We start from the raw sequence: 21,792 nt of genomic DNA, 5'->3' as shown, positions 1-21,792 counted from the left end.
CAAATCACTTTCCACCAACAAATTTAGTACATACTTACGGAAAAGTTTACTCATATTTGTAAATAACATATAACAACAATAAAAAAAGACTCAGATTGACTTGTCCCCATACTGATAGGCCAACATAGATTCCTTTCGCAGTTATAAATAAATTGTCCACAGTGTTTGCACAAAATATCTTGTAATAAATAACAAAAATATTGTGTCCCCCAAATCTTTTTTCTTGTCATGACTAATTTGTATAATTGAGGTACTATCATTCACACAGTTAATTCTTGAAAGTTTGGACTTGTTAAGAATTGGGCACAAGATCTTGCCTTTAAAGTTGGTCATCAAAATCAGTGACTATCCTGGGATACTTTATTATGAAGGGAAAGAAACTAATATTGCCAGGTCCTAACTTGTTCGGTCCTGGACTAACTATGTGGGATGCCACAGGTCAGGCAGTCTTTGAAGTAACCTTATGAAGTAGGAATTATATCGATTTTATATAAGAGAAAACTGAAGCCAACGAGGTAAAATAACTCGTCCCAAGTAATGAAGCTTGCCTAGGTCCCAGCCAGGCTTAGTCAAGCCCTGGTCCTTCTGATTTCAAAGCCCTTGCTGCTTCTCTGTATTGCACACTGGTTCTCTCTGTTGCACACTGAGCAACATTGTCTTTTTAAAATCTATTATGAAATAAAGTTAAACAGCTTCATAATTATCATTGTCATTATTTTTCTTTTTAGCTACTATTTTTTGGTCTGTCCTGTGGAAACAGCTTGCAATCCTCACAAGAACCTCGTAATGTGAATATGCCAGCGTGTTGCTACAGACCGTGCTTACTTCAGCCAATTTCTCTGCTGAATATCCTCCTTTTACTGATGAGGAAACCAAGTCAAGAAGTCATAAATGACACACCCAAGGCTGGGAAGTGGTTGAGCAGGTATTTAGACTCAGGTCTATTTTACTCCTGTGCCTGTGGGCCGTTTTCACATTCTTTTCAGTTGGACAGTTTTAAAAATGTGTAATGTTGCACTCAAATTAAATAACCTGAAATTTTGCAATTCTGAAAGGGAACTGATAACTTGAGGCACTATGTAACTATGCTTCAACACCTCAAAAAGGCTCCAGCAGGCACTTCTGAAAATGATTTTTAAAGCCCTTTTTTACTTGAATGCTGTTCAACATTCTCACAACTTGGCTTATGTTTTTATGCTGAACAAATGATTCATGACCCTTTATTCTGGGGGCTGGATTACTTGAATCCAAAGTGATGTGATGAATAACAAGGATCTAGGCGTTGTTGCCCAGTTGATAGTCACAAAATACTTGGCCTTAATAAGTCAGGAATTATTTTCCCCATATTTCTCGAATTACATTAAAGAATATAAGGTTTTTAAAAATCTGGCAAAAATTGTGATGTTTAATATTAAATACCCAATTGGAGAAGGTTTGGATTAATAAGATGGAAAAATTGGGGATGACCTGAAAAATTAATTTATCATCACTGACCTGTTTTCATATCTTGAAGCTTTTATGATCTAGTTTTAAATCTACACTGCTTTTTTTTTTTTTTTTTTTTTTTTTTGAGACAGTCTCACTCTATCACCCAGGCTGGAGTGCAGTGGGGCAATCTTGGCTCACTGCAACCTCTGCCTCCTGGGTTCAAGTGATTCTCCTGCCTCAGCCTCTCAAGTAGCTGGATTACAGGCATGCACCACCATGCCCTGCTAATTTTTTGTATTTTTAATAGAGATAGGGTTTCACCATGCTGGCCAGGCTGGTCTCAAACCCCTGATCTCGTGATCCGCCCACTTCAGCCTCCCAGAGTGCTGGGATTACAGGTGTGAGCCACCATGCCCGGCCTACACTGCTTTTTCATAGTGAATGTTTCTATTGCTGATAATCGTAGAGGCAAATACAGACTTGTTTTACTTTTTTGACTAAGGCAAAATAAATACTAACATATAACCATGCTTGTACTGTTATAGTTTATATGAATTGTGATTTATCCATCTATTCATTTCCATTTTAGGCAAAACAATTCATCATTTTAAAGTCTAGTCTAATAAACCTTTTATGATAAAAAGGAATAAAATAGGAGTAGGTATTGATGTAGATTACAGATCTAATTTGTCAAAATTTTACCCTTAAAAGACTTTTGTTGGGTCAGAAATACATTTTCCTGCTTTGAGTGTATTGACAAAATTTCCCTTTAAGATATATTAAAACTTAAATATAAGTTTGAAGTCTTACAAAATTATAAATTTTGACTTATGTCTTATGAGACATAATTTTTTACTTAAGACAAAATTATCCCAAAGGACAACTCAGTCTCTTTAACACCCAAGAATAGGCTAGGGTCACTATTTTGTAAACTAACAGCTCTATAATTTCTCAAGTCATATGTCAAGAGCATTGATAAACAATTTTCTTAACTGTTTGGTAACCTTGCTGAAGTCTTGCAGAGATGTAAACACTGAGCTCTTTTAACCTATGTGCCTTACTTATTGCTCCTGAAAACAATATTATTATGCCTGTAGGAACGCCCTAGACAATCTCAGATTCATAATGTTAGGGCTGAATACACCCCCCAGCATTAGCGGTTAACTCATGCCACTTCTAGATCTTTCATTAAATTCTCTCCATCCTCCTAACTCCACCCAACTCAGTATATGACTCAGATGCCTTGAATCTCCAAAAACATTTCTTGAAACAGTCTGTTGGAAACCAGCTTTCTTCTATGGACTCCATAGAAATGTTTTTGCTGTCTGTTCCTCCCACAAGGCATGTGTCCCCTTCTTGCATTGTAGATACTTGCTGATATGCTGAATTGTCCCTGCCAGACAGTAAGCTCATCAAAGGTGCCATCTGAATCACTTTAGTTTCTTTTGTCATATAACTCACATGAAGTAGATTCTCAAGTATTGAGTATTGAGCGTGTACTTAATAATTTCTGTTAGCCATGACACATTTTCAGAAAAGCGTTTTAGGAAGTACTCGGTCAAAGGAAAAAAAAAAAAGCCATAAGAATAGAAAACTCTTCAAGAGCTAAGCCAGAATAACTGGCACTTAAAAGTGACACATTCAATTTCTTCACCTTTATATAACCTCCAGAAGATCAAATGTTGATAAAATATTTATCTTCAGTTGTCACAAGCCAGACTTTGATTTAAAACTCTTGGGTACATGAATGTCATGCCAGACCAGAAATACATCATCATGTATTTTTAATTTAAACATGGGTATGTAAAAAATTTATATATGCCTGATATGAAAAAATTTGAGTGAAAAATCTCCCAACAGTCACCACAAACAAGAAAATAGAATCTAAAAGCAATTTTTAAACTTCTGTAAAAATGCAATGAAAAGCCTTCTGTTTGCAATTCCAATGTGGTATTGAAATGACACATAAAACGCATTCTCTTACCTTTAGGGAATCAAAGCAGGCAATTACTCTTCCATTTTCAACCTGACAACTTTTGGGGGGATGAGCAAATTTGCATTCTTCATCAGAGCGTGAGCATGTTCCTCTTTGAAACTGTCTGCAGACTTCTAATGTCAGCCATTTTGTATCTCTGACTGGGGCAACGTTCAAAGCCATGGTGATAAAGTAATTTGGGCTGTTTGTTTCTGTTAAATGATGAAATCAATCCAAGTTCTAATGATTCCAAAACTACTGTTGTGAAAACTCCCACATGTAAGTCTGAAGGTGAGTGATAAATTGCTTAGTGAAGTCCAATCCAAGGAACAGGATGATGAGAGAGTGTATGGACAGGCAATCACTCATCAATCAATATGTCCCACTTAAAGATGGTAGGCCGCAATAAAAGCATGCTCAGTGTCATCTCTGGCTTTCAACGTCCGAGTCTCTTGACTGTTTTGCAGATACAGCTGTTATTAATAAAGTGACTTCAATATCATGGCACTCCTTGGGAGAATATTTAATGCTGACGCTCACAGCTATTGACGATGTTGGAAAATAAGACACTCAGATGTTCATATTTTAGCAGGATGTTTTTCTTTCCCCTTTTTAAATTCTGAAATTAAGCAATTGGCAAAGTCAGACAACTGAGGTATCTTCATCCACTCATAAGGTCAGGGTAAAGTGTACTTGACAGAAGAGTGGGATGTGAATACAAAGAAAGCTCCCAAGCTGCAGTTTTCCAGCAAAAGTGACTTCACACAGGCACTTTTAAATGATAAACCTGCAAAACAGAAATGAAATATTAACCTTTACACAAACTCAATGGAATCACCACTTCAACGAACTATTGAACTCTTATCTAGAATTTGCAAAAGCACAGTTTAGAGCTTTGAGCTTTGAGTATAGTGAGAAAAGTTATGCATTAAATAAAAAAAAGAATATGCAACGGAAACCGTATTGCAGAATTGTCTAGGCAGCAGTCCAAAAGTTAGGAATGACTCAAACAGATGAGTGTGGCAGACACAATAATTAGGCCTTCTGAAACAATCCCATCTAATGTGCTTAATCGCCAAAACAGTGTATTAGGACTGTGGCTTCCAATTAATTTCACATTTAGGCCATTGATTTTATTGTTGGGAATGCTATAAACAATTATTTGGGATGTGTCCCTCCTATGTAATAAAGATATTGTCATTTTGAATGAAGTGTGGGCTCTTTCTTCTTTATGTTCTTCCTAGTTTACAGAGATGTGGACTTGGAGATGGGTAGGTAGGATCCTCTTGATATTTTTTCTCAGGTATCTTAATACTTCCTCTCCACCATGACTTACCTAATGTTTATCTTCCTATTTACACTGCAACATTCACAGGGCAAAGACTATTCTTTGTAGTTTTCATTTCTGTATTCCCAGTGCCTTAGTCTACGGCGTATATTAGACCCTCAAGAAATATTTATTGACCAATTTAACTGATGACTAAGTGCAGGAATGTAAATTAGTTTTAGTTGAGTTCAGTTTAGTTTTTAACTGAGTCATAATCTAAAAACGCTCTGTAGTATGGAATGCTGGAGTTAAAACACATGGCTACAACAAAAATATAGTCAGTAAGTTCAGATGTCTAAAATAAGCACCTTCAGTTTCTTTTAACTTTTTCAAGGGTTATGAAATCATTAAACATTAAATTCCAGTTACTGGGACAAGCATGAATAAAGGACTAAAGTCCAGAAGTTGATTATTTTCATAAATAGGATATGCCACAAATGACCTTACATACCTGCTGAGCCTTGATGTCTTTCTAAAAAATTTATACCTAAGAAGAACTTAATGAAGACTGGAAGTAGATTATTTTAAATTGGCAGGTAACAAATAAGTTCAGAGAGCAATAATTTTTTTTTTTTTGAAATGGAGTCTTTCTCTGTCACCCACACTGGACCCTGTCACCCAGGCTAGAGTGCAGTAGCATGAACTCGGCTCACTGCAACCTCTGCCTCCTGGGTTCAAGCAGTTCTTGTGCCTCAGCCTCCTGAGTAGCTGAGACTACAGGTGTCTGACACCACGCCTGGCTAATTTTTGTATTTTTAGTAGAGACAGGGTTTCATGGTTTCACCATGTTGACCAGGCTGGTTTCGAACTCTTGACCTCAGGTGATCTGCCCACCTCAACCTTCCAAAGTGCTGGGATTACAGGCGTGAGCCACCGTGCCCGGCCCAATAATTTTTAAGTGGTTCACAAGTGTTCCCTTAAAAAGTATGACCCCAAATCAATTAAGTTTATTTAACTCTGGGTAAATCAAGCCAGACGAGCTTCCTTGCATTAGGGCTTTTTAAGTTTTTTAATTTTTTTTCTTTTTTTTGAGACGGAGTTTCACTCTTGTTGCCCAGGCTGGAGTGCAGTGGTGTGATCTTGGGTCACTGCAACCTCTGCCTCCTGAGTTCAAGTGATTCTCCTGCCTCAGCTTCCCGAGTAGCTGGGATTACTGGTGCCCACCACCATGCCCAGATAATTTTTGTATTTTTAGTAGAGGTGGGGTTTCACCATCTTGGCCAGGCTGTTTTCAAACTCCTCACCTCAGGTGATCCACCCATCTTGGCCTCCCAAAATGTTGAGACAACAGACGTGAGCCACCGCGTCCGGCCTGCAATAGGGCTTTTCTTGGCTGCTGTGTCTGATGGGTCCCTTATAAGGGAGAAGCCTCAATGGTGTCTCAAGCTTATCTGATGATGGAACATTTATTTAAGCAGGACATCTCTTGGGACTGGTGGGAATTGCTACTTCATCCCAATAATTCTTTTACATTTTAATAAAAGTGTTTGCATGAGTTATAATTGCATGCACATTTAAGGAAGTTGGCAATCTTGAAAGCTATGACACATAGCAAACTTCAATTATAAAATATTTGAGGGGTCCAGGCAGGCTCCTGCATGTCTGTTTGGCAACGCTGCATTCACAGAAGCTAATATCAGCTAGCCTAAGCTAGGGAGCTTAAGAAGATGAGTTTAATAACCAAATTTAATATGGGTTGGGTTTCATAGACCAGCCTGGACTTGTATCTTTATTACCTCAACCTGCACCTCTAGCTCCCATGGAGAACAAAGGATGAGGAAAGCAAAGGACAAGGACATATTTCTGCCTGCATCAAGGGAGATGAGGCACCAATGACAAGGATATTTCAAATGATGGGCTGAACACACTTAGTGTTTGAAAAATATTACGTAGAGTCCCCAAGTCCTCAGTACCAGGACCCAAGGTAGATGCTCAACCTCAAAGGCAGCAGAGTCTCTCCCAAGGGCTCCCATGGAGGAAAAGAAAGAGGTAAACATAGGTACTGTTGCATAGATGGCAAGAATAATTACTCAGATGTTCCTAAAAGTTCTCCAGGAGCTATGCTTCCAATGCAGTTCAGTGAATGCTGTACATTTTTATTCATACTTATAGGTAAGAAGCCTTTTTCATTCCCCCTGGAAGAAATATATATTTTTTCCCCCTGGGAGAATTTCCATTTCAACTTACTATGAAAATCCCACCAGAATTCAGATGATCAGACTCTACCAAGATACACTTGCTTAAAATTAAGTATTTATTTGAATTGACAAAAACTGTATAGGATTATTATATACAAATGATATTTTGAAATACGTATGCATTGTAGAATAGCTAAATTGAGCTAATTAACATATGCATACTTAGCATTTTTTAGTTGTGAGAACACTTAGAACCTCTAAGTGAGATCACACCCTATTTGTCTTTAAGATAAACTTGCTTTTAAAAGCAGGGATGGCCTGCCTTACACCTTATACAAAAATTAACTCAAGATGGATTAAAGACTTAAATTTAAAACCCAAACCATAAAAAACCCTAGAAGAAAACCTAGGCAATACCATTCAGGACATAGGCATGCAGAAAGACTTCATGACCAAAAGCAATTGCAACAAAAGCCAAAATTGATAAATGGGATCTAATTAAACTAAAGAGCTTCTGCACAGCGAAAGAAACTATCATTAGAGTGAACGGGCAACCTACAGAATGGGAGAAAATTTTTGCAACCCACCCATTTGACAAAGGTCTAATATCCAGAATTTACAAGGAACTTAAACAAATTTACAAGAAAAAAACAAACAATCCCATCAAAAACTGATATGAACATACAAAGGATATGAAAAGGGCAATGGATATGAACAGACACTTCTCAAAAGAAGACATTTACGCAGCCAACAAACATGAAAAAAAACTCAACATCACTGATCATCAGAGAAATGCAAATCAAAACCACAATGAGATACCATCTCATGCCAGTCAGAATGGTGATTATTAAAAAGTCAGGAAACAATAGATGCTGGCGAGGCTGTGGAGAAATAGGAATGCTTTTATACTGTTGGTGGGAATGTAAATTAGTTCAACCATTGTGGAAGACAGTATGGTGATTCCTCAAGGATCTAGAACCAGAAACACCATTTGACCCAAAAATCTCATTACTGGGTATATATACCCAAAGGAATATAAATCATTCTACTGTAAAGACACATGCACACCTATGTTTATTGCAGCACTATTTACAATAGCAAAGACATGAAATCAACCCAAATGCCCATCAATAATAGGCTGGATAAAGAAAATGTGGTACATATACAACATGGAATACTATGCAGCGGAATGAGATCATGTCCTTTGCAGGGACATGGATAAAGCTGGAAGCTATCATCCTCATTAAACTAACACAGGAACAGAAAACCAAATACGGCATGTTCTCACTCATAAGTAGAAGTTAAACACTGAGAACACATGGACACAGAGAGGGGAACATCACATACGAGAGCCTGCTGGGGGTTTACGGGGTGAGGGGAGGGAACTTAGAGGACAGGTCAATAGGTGCAGCAAACCACCGTGGCACACGTATACCTATGTGACACACCTGCACATTCTGCACATGTATCCTGTTTTTTTTTGTTTTGTTTTTTGTTTGTTTTTTTTTAGAAATAAATAAATAAATAAATCTTAAAAAGTGGAGTAGGCTGGGTGCAGTGGCTCACGCCTGTCATCCTAGCACTTTGGGAGGCCAAGATGGGCAGATCACTTGAGGCCAGGAGTTTGATACCAGCCTGGCCAACATGGCGAAACCCTGTCTCTACTAAAAATACAAAAATTAGCCTGGCACACGCCTGTAATCCCAGCTACTTGGGAGGCTGAGGCATGAGAATTGCTTGAACCTAGGAGGTGGAGATTGCAGTGAGCTCGCGCCACTGCACTCCAGCCTGGGCAACACAGAGAGCCTCTGTCTCAAAAAAAAAAAACAAAAAAAAAAAAACAAAAAAGAGCAGGTGTACCCAAGCTTTCTGATGGCCAGAGTCACTTGTACAGCAAAGATGTTTCAGAAGGAAAGAGGTGTGCATTATATCACAGGTACAACATACTGTTATCATAGCCTCTCATGAATCCACTCTTTCTCCCAGCTTGTTCTCTGTTCCTTTCCAAAAAGCTATACGGCTACTGTTAGCATAGGCACCTGTACCAAGGAGTGGGTACAGGCAGGCAGATGTGGGGAAAAGGGAGAGAGCCACTTGAGCTAGGTTAGATGGTTCTACCAAAGATAAGAGCAATGGAGGGTAAGGATGGGCTAGACCACATTTCAGCATGGCCATCAAGAGACGGGACTGAGAGATATGCCAACATATAGATGTAATAGAATATTGGACTTACTAGCCTGCCAGTTGCTGAGAGGAAGGGGCATGTGTTAGACTGTGCTGTTCAAGGCAGAAATCACCAGCAACATATCAATCAAGCACCTGAATTGTGGCTAGTGAAACTGAGAAACTAAATTTTAAATTTTTATTTATTCTTAATGAATTTAAATTTTAAAAACTCACCCTTGATTCAGTCATTGGAAAACTTTTTAGTGTGATTAGACCAAGTTGAGTATATAAATTTACTTTTTTAATTTTAAATTTTATGAAACCTACATACAGATGGAGTACTGCCAATGAAAATTTAGCATCCAAATTCAGATGTGCTCCAAGTAGAAAATACACACTGAATTCAAAAATACATGCCTTGTAAGAAAAAAAAGAATGTGAAAATATCTTATTAAGATTGTTTCATAGTTATTACATACTGAATTAATATTTTTAATATATTGGGTTAAATATTAAAATTGATCTCACCTGCTTCCTTTTCCCACTCAAAAATTCATAATTGTCTAAGTAGCTCACATTCTATTGCTACTGACGGTGCTGTCTCAAGGGCTTTTGCATTTCTTCTATTAGTCAACAGAACTTCCAGGGTGATAGAAAGTCCTAAGAACTAGCTTCCAGCCTTCACTTTGCCAAGGTATCTCGTCACATAACCTTGGGCAAGTCAATTTCTTTGAGACCCACCTTCTTCATCTAAATGTCGATAATAGTTCCTGCCTGTATGTACATGGTTGCTGCCATGAAAGACAGATTATAGTGGAAATATAAAAGTATTCTGTGATTTTTAAAAGTTACTATACCAATCTGTATTAACAAAATCTACTTTCAGGCTTCCTCTCTCTCTACGATAGTTCCATATGATGACCAGGATTAGACCTGGTGTAGATCTGCTCCAGCCACAGAGTCTGAGAGCAGGGAGGTGCCTAGAGATCAATGGTCTGACTGCATAGCAGTACCTGGACCTCTTATCTGGAGAAGGCTTCACTTCTCACACCGCCTTTATTTTGCAACCAAAGGGAGCCTCAGAGAGGTTTTTCCAAGTGTCACTACAAAAACCTTAAGCCCGCTTTCTTCCTCCAGCTGCTGTTCACCCAAAAGTGAAGGGAACACCTCTGGGGCCAACAGTCACCCTGGGTGGGAAGCAGGGTTGGAATACTCTGGTAGCACCAATGGGAGCCTGCTTCCCTGAGGGCACGGTGGAAATGCAGCTGCTTTTCCATTCACAGTGCCCTGGATGAGCAGGGAGGAAGGGGTGGCATTTCAAGTTCATCTGCCCAGAGGTGCCCCTGTTAATAATGTCTGGAGAGGGCACCTCCAGACGTTCCACAATTTTGGAAATTAGGAAAATTTCCATCAAGATTCCATGTATAACGGCATTGCCCCATTATATGCAGGGCACCCTTAGCCTTTCCCAGAAGTTTCTAGGCTGCACTGGGAACAGGGTCTCTGCCCACATTATTTTCCAGTTTTGTGTAAGTCTCTCTCACTGGTGTGTTTTAGCTTCCATTTCTTTCACTTCTTTTGACTTTTTTGGTTGTATTTCCAATGTCCCAAACAATCCTACCCTAATTAGCTCCTTCCAGTGCAGAACCTAGGCAATGTTTGGGAGTAGTTGCCCCCGATTATTTCTCTGGCAGGCCCTCTCCTTTTTCTCCTCAGGCATTTAGAAACTTCCTGCCTTTCTAAGCCACCTCCTGGAAAAGGATATGAGCTTGCCAGGAAGGTTCAGCTGAGCCACCCTCCGGCAGGCCCTCCTCACGGGCCTGCATCCGGAACAGCGCCCCCTCCTTCGTCCTTTCCCTTTTGACACCCTCTCCTACAGCCCATCTTTAATACTGCCTGGTCATTATTTTTAAATAGGTATCATTATTCCTTAATTCACAAGAACTGTAAATACTGATTTCTCCATCTGCCTCCCCACAGTGTAAACTCCTACAGGGTTTGCCTCAGGTATCTGATAGACTTTGCCTATTATTTTTGAATCCCCAGAGTTCAGTTCAGTGCCTGGTATGCAGAATATACTGGACAAATGTTTGTTGAATGAGCTCCTGATCCTCCTCCAAGGAATATTTGCATTTTAATAAGAACCAAAGTCTAAGCTAAAGGACTAATGCTCTGAATGGGGAATTCCAGTATTATCTGTAGGAAAATTCCAGCAGATGCCACTGGCTTACCCTGCGGCTGCCAGGTAGGTTGAGGCTGGGAGCTGCCCCAGGGATGCACACCGTGAGCCTCAATGCCCAGATCTTTAGTCCAGCGGTTTTTAAAGTGTTGTGCCTGGGCCAGCAGCAGCAGCATCCGCTGGGATCTTGTTAGGAATGCACACTCTCGGCCCGGCGCAGTGGCTCACACCTGTAATCCCAGCGTTTGGGAGGCCGAGGCAGATGGATCATTTGAAGTCAGGAGTTCCAGACCAGCCTGGAAAGCATGGTGAAACCCCATGTCTACAAAAAATAGAAAAAAATTTAGCCGGGCGTGCATGGTGGCGCACGCCTGTAATCCCAGCTATTCAGGAGGCTGAGACATGAGAATCACTTGAACCCAGGAGGCAGAGGTTGCAGTGAGCCAAGATCGTGCCACTGCACTCTAGCCTGGATGACAAGAGCGACGCTGTCTCAAAAGAAAGAAAGGAAGGAAGGAAGGAAGGAAGGAAGGAAAGAAAAAAGAAAAGCACACTCTTAGGCCCCACCACCAAGGTCCTGGATCAGATACCCTGACAACGAGGACGAGCAATCTGTGTTTTAACAAGCCATCCAGGGGGCGGCTGATGCAGGCTCAAGCTTGAAAACCCCTGTCGGAAGCATTCCTTGCCTTCTGTGTGCCAGGCATCCTGCTGCTTGCTGAAAAGAACAAAGATGTCCACCTGGAGTTACCTGCAGGCTTTTGAGTTCACTGATTTCCCTAGAAACAATTGTAAGAGTGCTGGCCGGGCTGCCCCCAGCGGCTGTTTCTGATCAATAAAAACAAAACAACAAAACAGCCAGACTCACAGAAAACACCTGAGAGATTTGTTTCAGCTAAGACTTCCTTCTGTGAGAATTAGGAAAGACAATGACCCATAGCCTTCTAGAGGGGGTGGGTGCGGCCTTGTTTTACGGACACTTGCCTGAGAGAGGACCACTTTAAAGGGACTAGTGGCCTGATGACCAGCAGCTCAGCCATCAGAAGGAGCTGCTTTGTAGTGCCCCATCCTCTCCAGAAGGCGTGTGATTTAAGGAATATCCAGGTTCACTGCTTGACTCATCTTTAAAGAAAAGGCAAGACTGAAGTTCGAGAAGAAAGAAACGAGGTTCTGTAGTATTTCCTGAAATGCCAAAGGATGTGCCGTTCAACTGTACAAAATAATCCCAAGCTATTTTTAGGGTCTTTACTTACATGACACTTCATTTTTCAAAATGTATTTAAGAACTCTTCTAAGTGTTAGATTTTCAGAAAGCATTCACTTTTGACTGTATAAAAGAACTTGCCGCTCACATTCTTTTGCAGCTGCTAAGTTATGCAGGGTGAGTCTGGAAAGCCTGGCTTTTCACTCTGCAAGGAGGCGACCTCCCTCCATTCCACGCCTCTCAGACAAGCTGGGGCTGTGGACCCCAGGTGTCTCCTCCGTGCCATTGCTTTCTAGATAGTTTGTACATTTTTTAAGGGAAAAACATCAGTCATGTCCAATGTTGAGACTGAGATTGATCAAAATTTCAGACCACCTTAAGGGAAATAATTCTGCAGCACACAGTTCCTCCAGTTTACTTTCGGGTCATCTATGATATTTTAGCTGCCTGCCAGACATCGGCCTCCTAGGGAGCTGATTAAAGGATCTTTGCAAAACAAGCCTATTTCTGAGTCAGACAGTCAAGAACTCATTATCCATTAAGTAATTTATAGGATGCCTTTAATTCTTTTTATATAAATCTAATTACAAGAAAGAAACCTTGTCTCCTTGACTCTCCTATTTCTAATTTTCGGAATCTCTGAGTTTCCTATTTTTAATTTTTAAATTCTTAAAATATATATTTTTAAAAAATAATGTTTCCTTCCTGTGAGTGGCTCAATGTTGGAGCGTCCCCACTCTATTTCTGGAGACTAATTTAAAATAGCTCTCAATGTGCTCTCTCTGTTGATCGATGACTTGGCCGCATCCTAAGCCTATCAGATGCAGACGCCTGGGCGGAGAGGGCCCTGGAGGAGCTGCCAGCTGAAGGACTGGGGCTGAGAGCCACTTGATCTCCAGAAGGAGGGTGTAAGACTGCCCTGTAATCACAGCCTCGGAGAAGAGGCTCCTAACTGGGGCCTGCCCATAGGAAGCTCAGTGAACCAAGGGAAACACAGATGTGAATGAGATGCAAATGCAAGTGAATAGAGAACTCGATTGACTTCGCAAAGAAAAACATTGAGGCAGGTAGCAAAAGAGATTTCTTTTAATGGTTTTTCTTTTAGATACCTTTAAATTGGTTTTGTTTTAATTAATTAATTAATTTATTTATTTATTTTTCGTGAGATGAAGTCTTGCTCTGTTGCCTAGGCTGGAGTGCAGTGGCACAATCTCGGCTCACTGCAACCTCCGCCTCCCAGGTTCAAGTGATTCTCCTGCCTCGGCCCCCCAAGTAGTTGGGATTACAGGCACCTGCCACCAAGCCTGGCTAATTTTCATATTTTTAGTAGAGAAGGGGCTTCACCATGTTGGCCAGGCTGGTCTCAAACTTCTGACCTCAAGTCATCCACCCACCTCGGCCTCCCAAAGTGCTGGGATTACAAGGGTGAGCCACCGTGCCCGGCCTAATTTATTGAAAATATAAATAAAATGGTGCCTTGAATGTTCTGCTTGGTTGAAGGACAAGACCAGCTTTTCTAACCTGGACTCTACTCTCTCTGCCTCTGAATAGCTGTGTGATGTCACCTGCTCTATCTGAGCTTCATTTTCCTTGTTTTTCTTCAAAGGGATAGTAACACTTAAGCCATAAATACATGCACTGCAACCAAAATATATTTAGTAGTATACTATCAATAATCTCTATGTGGTACCTAATCTGTATCAACATTAGTTCTTGAGACATCCACATGCATGTACACACACACGCACACACAAAAATGACAGGTGGAAATAACTTTTTTACTAAAAGTTATTTTCTCCAAAGTCAACGAAGTATAAGTAAAAGAAAGTAGAAAGGCTCTTTCTCTGAAGGTAGGTACAAGCTATGAAGTCCTGCCTAGCATGTGAGTTGGACACGCCCTTGATAGACTGTCTTCTAAAACTAACTCCAAACTTTCATTCTTTCTAACTAGAGAAAGAACCGTGTCTGACAATGATATCTTCATTTTACATGGTATTTTGTCCTCTGGAACATACTTTCAGATATATTAATATAAGGGAAATAAAACATAGGGTTACCCAAGGCCATTCAATGACTCAGATAAGCCAACCTTTGTTTTATGATAAAAATAACAAAAGGAGAAATTTCCAACTTTTTTTTCATGTATCTTATGTCTTAAAGTACAAGTGAAAAAGTCATAAAATCCAGGGCTCATTTTAACATGCAAAAATTTCCAATCTCTTTTCATTGCCATTTCCAGGAATGGGTAGAGAAAGAAATCACATCCTCAATTCAAAGAGTGAAAATTTCTAAATATATTCTTGAAACTACAGCCAGATGTAATCTATTCAACACGTATTTGTATTCAAATTATGTTTTTCACTGCATCTGTGTTTTCTATCCAAATATTTATAATTCAGTTAGGAGATGCTCTTATTAGAAATAAAAGCAATTGTATTAGAGACCATTGAAAACTGCATTGCACTTACCGGTTTCCTGGATGTCCAGGAACCAATGGCTGTAGCCAGACAGAACAATGATCGATCTGTCAGCTGAAATCTAGCCCTGAATTCCCAGAGAACTCTTTGTTAGAACTTCCATTTCCTTCCCCGGCCATAGCCTTGGGTGGACAGAACCACTTTCAGCTGACCTTTGTCTTTTTCTCTCTCTCCAGTGACCAGCCTAATGGCCATTTCATTGGCCTGTACACCTACCTATAAATACTAATAACCCCTTTTTTGACAAAATGTTTGTAACACAACTTTTATTATCACCAAATGAAAATCATAGTGTAACCAACAGACACACTTTAAAAACAAAATCAATATATTGCCATAACTATAAATACTGTAATTTACATATCAACAGAAAGCTACTTTATACAATAAATAATATGTATTTTAAAATTTTGATGCTAAGGCACAAGCATATTAGAAGACAGAATGAAGTGTCAGAAGCTGTCACCTGTTTGTTTGCAGCACTGTAATGAATGTAACGGGTACAAATGTAGACTGACACAGGTTTGATAAAAGGCATGGCTTATCAAATTGCTGAATAATTTCTGATGAAGTTCCTAACAAGTTAAATAATAATCTTCTCTGCCGGGCACAGTGGCTCAAGCCTGTAATCCCAGCACTTTGGGAGGCCGAGGCGGGTGGATCACAAGGTTAGGAGATGGAGACCATCCTGGCTAACACGGTGAAACTCCATCTCTACTAAAAATACAAAAAATTAGCTGGGCGTGGTGGCGGGAACCTGTAGTCCCAGCTACTCGGGAGGCTGAGGCAGGAGAATGGCATGAGGTCCCGAGCCCCAGCTACTCGGGAGGCAGAGGTTGCAGTGAGTCGAGATTGCATCAGTGCACTCCCGCCTGGGTGACAGAGCGAGACTCCATCTCAAAAAAAAAAAAAAAGAAAAAGAATAATCTTCTCTCAGTTTACACAGTTGTTGCATTCTTGAAAAATTCGATTATACTACAACTGTCTAATAATTAAAAAAATAAAAGTAAGGCTGGGCACAGTGCCTCACACCTGTAATCCGAGCACTTTCGGAGGCCGAGGCGGGCAGATCACCTGAGGTCAGGAGTTCGAGACCATCTTGGCCAACATGATGAAATCCCGTCTCTACTAAAAATACAAAAATTAACTGGGTGTGGTAGTGCACACCTGTAATCCCAGCTACTTGGGAGGCTGAGGCAGAAGAATCACTTGAACCCAGGAGGCAGAGCTTGCAGTGAGCAGAGATAGCACCACCGCACTCCAGCCTGGGTGACAGAGTAAGACTCCGTCTCAATAAATAACAACAGAGGTACAGGCTGGTTCCTCGCTCCAAGGGAGTCACGTCCATTGCAAGACATCAAAATCCTGTACTCCTGTCCATTAAATTCCAGAGATGCCCCCCAGGCATTTGGACAATTTTTTTAAAAATGGTCCTTTAAGTTTCCACCATGTCCCTCAGGGTAGTGTGGTCCTCATTATGAATAGTGACATAGGGGCTTTGTCTGCCTAAGTATCACTAAGTAGGCCCAGGTGTAACACATCAGCATAGTTAGTATAGTAGACAGTGGGGAACACTGGCAGGATCTTGACAAGATTCCCAGCTGGAGGAAGCTCTTTCTGGAAGCACCACCTAGGATACATTAGAATTGAAAAGGTTGGCAGGGGAGGGGAAATTGGTTAAAGGTTACAGCCATGGTAGAGCAGAAAGGTCAAAAATTACACTGCAGTGGTGAGAACAAAACGGAGGTGTTACTGCTGAGGTCAATTCATTAGAAGCAAATTCATCTTTGGGGATTGGGAATGAGGCGTGTAGGAAATAGATGGATCAAAACGGACTTCAAGGTCGAGCGTGGCAGCTCAAGCCTGTAATCCCAGCACTTTGGGAGGCCGAGGCGAGTGGATCACCCGACCTCAGGAGTTCAAGACCAGCCTGGGCAACGTGGTGAAACTACTCTACCAAAAAAATAAAATAAAATAAATTTTAAAAGAAGCAAAAATTAGCTTGGCGTGGTGATGCATGCCTGTAATCCCAGCTACTTGGGAGGCGGAAGCAGGAGAATTGCTTGAACCCAGGAGGCAGAGGTTGCAGTGAGCTGAGATCGTGCCACTGCACTCCAGTCTGGGGACAGAGCGAGATTCTGTCTCAAAAAAAATTATTAAAAAAAAAAGCGAGGGAGGACTTCAAAATGTGGGTCCTGTGTGTGCAGAAGGACATCAAAGCTCTGCCCAGGAGAAAGCAGAAGGCAGCTAGAAACGGGTATAGAAGTGATGGGCATGGATCCAGAGTTGGAGTTCATGGCCATGGAAATGACTGCTAAAACCATGGAATGGCAAAAATAAGAGAGGGAGAAGGGATTTATTTGTATACATCTAGGACAGAAAACAGGAAGGCTTGGACTGGATCAAGAACAGTTTCTTTAGTGATTTGGAGGTGAAAGAAGGAAGAGGAGTAAGGCAAACCACAGAAAAAGAAAGCGACAAAAGATCCTTCCAATAATGCAACAGTGAGGGAGAAAGGTTCAGAGTTTCAAGAGGAGGGAGTAGCGAAAAGCGTCCACTGCCACTGCCACGGAGAGATCAAGGCATGTGGACAATTTGTGGTGGCTAGGTGTCACGAAGGGGAAGTCCCTGCTGGCTTTCAAGGGGGTGGTTTCTGTGACATGACGCTGTTGGAGCTGGGGAAGGAGGCACTCAGTGCCTGGAGAATTTGGAGCACTTGCTGCTGCAAGAACAGTGTGGCGGCAAGGCAGGGATTGCACTCTCTGCTCTGAAGTCAGAGATGCTTTGGTGCCTGCGGGATCCTGAGCAGCTACCCTTTTGGAACCTCAGGTTTGTAAAGAGAGTTTTAAGGGTGCACTCTCTGAAGCCCCTGGGAGGGTGGGAGACCACCTGCTTCTCCCCTGACCCTTCCCACGTTTCTTTCATTTTAATGGAAGGAGAAAAACAGGACAAGAGCTTGGGGAGATGGCAAGGTAGAGGTATGGGCCAGCGTGCGGCCACTGGCCTCAAGAAGGGGGAAGGACAGGGTGGCTGGCTGTCATGGAGGCCCAGCCTCAGCGAGGAAACGAGACACTCATTTCACACTCACAGGACCCACAGAAGGTGGGAAGTGAGGGATGCAGCCTGGCTAGACAGCAGGAAATGAAACCAGGGCAGCTTCAGTCCTGCAGCCTTTATCGTCTCAGTCAAATCAGAGCTGTTTTACCTGCTGCAAAAGTGGTGCTGGGGCCTTCCAGCCAGTGCCTGAAGTGTGGGAAATCTTTGGTGGGCAGTTACAGAAGATGGCAGGGAAAGAGAAAGGCAGGGAATCTCAAGTGGCCCAGGAGGCACAACTTCAGCGAAAGAGCGTTAATTTATTCTGAGATGAATGGTTATGCTGTCTCCATCTACCCTTGGCCAGTGGAAAGCAGAGGCAGAAAAAGGGTGCTGCCAAATTTCAAAGGTCAAGGTCTTGGAGATGGGACAATTTAAAAGAACAAAAAGGCCTGAGGTATGAGGCTAGTACACATGGAGGTGACGGCAGTTGAGGAGGTGGATAAAAGGGCTGTTCTCTCCTGGGTGGAAATTTTATCTGTGATCTTGCAATTTGTTTCTGAGTGTATCGTTAAATTTCTTGATGTGTGTGCATGTGTGTGAGTGTGAACATGCCAAGTGGCAGCAGTGAATGATGTCAGAAGTGGGCATCGCTGATACTCCCCACCAAGAGGGTTTGTATCCATCATGGGCTCAGCACATCATAATCACATGTGCTGTGCACAGGAGGGAAGAGCCGGGGGCTTCCTTTCTATCGGAATGAATAGCTGCAGAGAAGGTGCAGTAAGAATGCACACAGGTATCAAGGAGAAGAAAAAGGCAGGTGCTGGACAGTGTTGGAGGAAGCAGTGTGGGGAGCCAACTGATAGATTACTGGGATGGGGTTAGCATCTTCATTGGCAAGACAACACCCTCGAAGAGCTCAGAACAAACACTTACTGAGAAGTGTTTGAGATAATGTTTTTAAAGGGAAAGAAAATAAAGATGAGAGTGATCCAAGGGTTTATGCCTGGTGGCCTGTGCTAATTTAAAAAAAAAATAAGGAGGTTAGCATATCTGTGGATGGGGAAGGTGGAGAGGAGAAGGAATGGCTGGAACACAGGCAGTTTGGCTGCAAAATCCACCAGGCCTCTGTTTAACCACTCTCTTGTGTGGTTTTATGGCTTCAAATGCACTCTTTTGTACAGTTTTATGGCTTTAAAACCCACTAGACAGTGACATTTGTGTTCTTTCTTTCTCCCCTCCTCCCTCTCTCCGATACCCTACATCTGATCCAATGGCAGATGCCTCTGGATCCACATTCCTAACGGCGCCAGAGTCTGACCACTTCTCACCAGCTGCACTTGGCCCCTGCCTTGGAGCCAGCATTCTCTCTCACAACATGAGTGCAAAGCCTCCTCACCAGTCTACTGATGCCTCTACCCTTGCCGCACTGCAGCCACATCTCAATAAATCATCCTGAGGGACTCTTTGAAAATGTAATCAGATCATGTCACATTTCTGCCCAGGAACCTCCAATGGCTCCCCACCTCACAGAGCGGGACTGTCAAGAGTCTTCTGACGGCCTACACTGACCTCGGTGACTGGCCCCATACTTTCTGACTCCCCCCAACCATCCTGGCCTTTGACTGCTCCTTCAGTAGCCAGGGACATCCTGCCTTAGAGCTTTGACCTCGCTGTTCCCTCTGCTGGGAATACTTTTGTCCCAGATAGTCACATAGCTTGGAGGTCAGCCTATGGGGCAGTCTTTCCTGATGTAATATTGCATCAGTCTTACCTCCTTACTCTGACTCACCGTGCTTTATTTCCCTCCAAAGTCCTTATCATTATTTAACACTCACATGCATACTTGTTTATCTGTGCATTTTCTCTCTCAACCAGACTGTAATGTCTGTAAGGGGATGGTCTGTCTGTATCCTTAACATCTAGGGCAACATTTAACTTTAGAACACAGTGAGCAGTGAATAGATATTTGCTGAGTGAGCAAGTGAATGAATGAGCAAATAAATGAATGAATACGCCACAGAGCTTACAGTCTGTGCCCGCCTTCATGGTTTGCTCTGTTCCATCTTCTCGATGGGATTTGAAATCTTTCTCAACCGCTGTTGTTGCTATTATTTCAGCACGCTAGGACTCCAGTTTCTTAGCTTTAAAACAGAGAGGCCCCAACAATTTCTAGAGCCACTTCTGTCCTTAAAGTTCTGTGATTGTACAGTGATTGGCAAGGCTGATTTAAGGAGAAGTGTATTTTTAGGAACTCTTCTGGAAATCTTACCAGCTCGGCTGAGTTTGGCCTAGATTTGTCAGCAGGCCTTTTGAGCCGTGGGATCTAAAAGGAGCATCTGAATCGGGGGAAGGGGGACATGCATGGAGCCCATTTTCTTCCTGCTCCCAAGTCCAGAACCAAGGAGGGAGCACAAAAGGGGATTCAGGGAGGGTGAAAAGGTGGCAGGTTCTGCCTGTAGCACTCAGCGCCTTGAGGAGTCGGTGCAGGGGTGAAGAGGACTGGGGAGGTAGATTTGGAATGCTTATGCCCCGGACTGTGAAAAGGACAAAAGCTGGGGGACTTGGTGCCCCAGAGGTTTTATTCTTCTTCTTTACATGTTCTCTTCTCCTAGCACAGAATATATAGAGAATGCCACTGTGCACCAAGACTTCACCAGCACACCCAAGCCCAGTCTTCATGATGTGGTGGTGGGAGATACTGCGGTCCTGGACCTAGAAAAGGGTCTCTAACTTGAATGGGGGCAGTGCTGGGTCCTGAAGGCCATCAGCAGAAAAGATTGCTCAGAGTCTGAGAAGATGTGAACATGATTCTCATTAAGGCTAAGCTCCAAGAGGCCCCATTCCTTGGCTCTGGTATTCTCTCACAAGGAAAGACTGCATTTTTGAGTCACATGAACCTTCAGCATTGCATACTCTGGGGGTTAACATATCTCGAAGTCAGGCCAGAGAGAGCAGGCCTTCCTCTGGCCTGGGGGGTTAACATATGTCTGAACTCAGGTCACAGAGAGCAGGCCTTCCTCTGGCCTGAGCCCTTGAGGCAGTGGCCACAGGTCTCCTTCCTAAGATCTGTGATCTGGCTATTGATCCTATGCCGGAGATAATCTACCAGAAAGAGCCATCCAGTTGTCCAAACTCTTTCCACATCCAGCCCCATCCCACTATTTTTGCAGAAACCAATTATTCTAGCACAGAACCTGATATGGGATATGTGGCTTGGAGGATCCAAGGGTTCAGAAGACCTCAGAAGGACACAGAATGCTAGTCACTTACTTGAACACTGTGGGAAAGATAGCAGCAGGATCTCACACACAGGTGATGGGGTTTTATTAATATTTAACAAAATATAATTTCCACTATTTGACTTCAGCAGAAAAAGCAGAACCCAGTAATCTAGGAACAGGAAGAGGGTAATTTATTAAAACAAGATTTTGTTTTGTTGTTATTACTTTCATCCTAGAAGTAAAAAAGAAAGAAAGAAAGAAAGTACTGCCATACTTCTAAAAATCGCCATCGATGAGCAATGACTCAAACCACAAGTATGAAGTAGCCTACAGAAATGAATGAGTCAACAATTCCTCTTATCTTTCAGGAAATTAAGCTAACTGCTAGGTATTGAAATCAACAACAAATATTTACTGTGTTTAAAGCCTCCAGTTCAGAGGAATTAAAAAAAAAAAACCCTGGCAACAAAGCATATCTTCTGTAAAAATGTGACACCACGAGTTATTAGGTAATGTTATTGCTAAATGCATCAGGCAGGACTCATGAAATCCTGCATCCTACCGCCCCTTCCTTTACTTGGGAACAGATCCTTCTGTTTCCTCTCCTCCCAGACGGGGGGCGCTCCTCAGAGGCTCGT

The 21,792-nt window shown here is 42.0% G+C and overlaps 1 protein-coding gene and 1 long non-coding RNA gene across 57 annotated transcripts in view; one reads left to right on the top strand and one right to left on the bottom strand.

The window, feature by feature from the left end:
* The window catches only part of MBNL2 (muscleblind like splicing regulator 2), a 252,287-nt gene that overhangs the window by 114,299 nt on the left and 116,196 nt on the right, over positions 1-21,792 (bottom strand). For 49 of the 55 annotated variants that reach the window (NM_001382649.1, NM_001382675.1, NM_001382656.1 and 46 more), the window contains one exon: positions 3,413-4,190. The exons of 2 other annotated variants lie outside the window; for them this stretch is intronic. In NM_001382649.1, the coding sequence (NP_001369578.1) occupies positions 3,413-3,586 (174 nt within the window). In that variant the 5' untranslated portion in view covers positions 3,587-4,190. Of the gene's footprint in view, positions 1-3,412; positions 4,191-11,265; positions 11,536-12,197; positions 12,336-21,792 lie in introns of all 55 variants that reach the window. 4 more of the 55 variants (NM_001382660.1, NM_001382663.1, NM_001382668.1 and 1 more) reach the window with 3 other exon arrangements.
* Positions 1-21,792, top strand: part of LOC101927385 (uncharacterized) — a 55,360-nt gene that overhangs the window by 18,392 nt on the left and 15,176 nt on the right. Inside the window, exon 3 of one of the 2 annotated variants that reach the window (XR_001749966.2) lies at positions 729-925. This is a non-coding gene — a long non-coding RNA (uncharacterized LOC101927385). Of the gene's footprint in view, positions 1-728; positions 1,386-21,792 lie in introns of those variants that run through there. The other variant, XR_007063843.1, reaches the window with a different exon arrangement.

The sequence above is a fragment of the Homo sapiens genome, chromosome 13, assembly GCF_000001405.40.
Source record: "Homo sapiens chromosome 13, GRCh38.p14 Primary Assembly".
Lineage (NCBI taxonomy): Eukaryota > Metazoa > Chordata > Mammalia > Primates > Hominidae > Homo > Homo sapiens.
The sequence above is the reverse complement of the archived record's forward strand: the minus strand, read 5'-3'. Positions and strand labels throughout refer to the sequence as shown.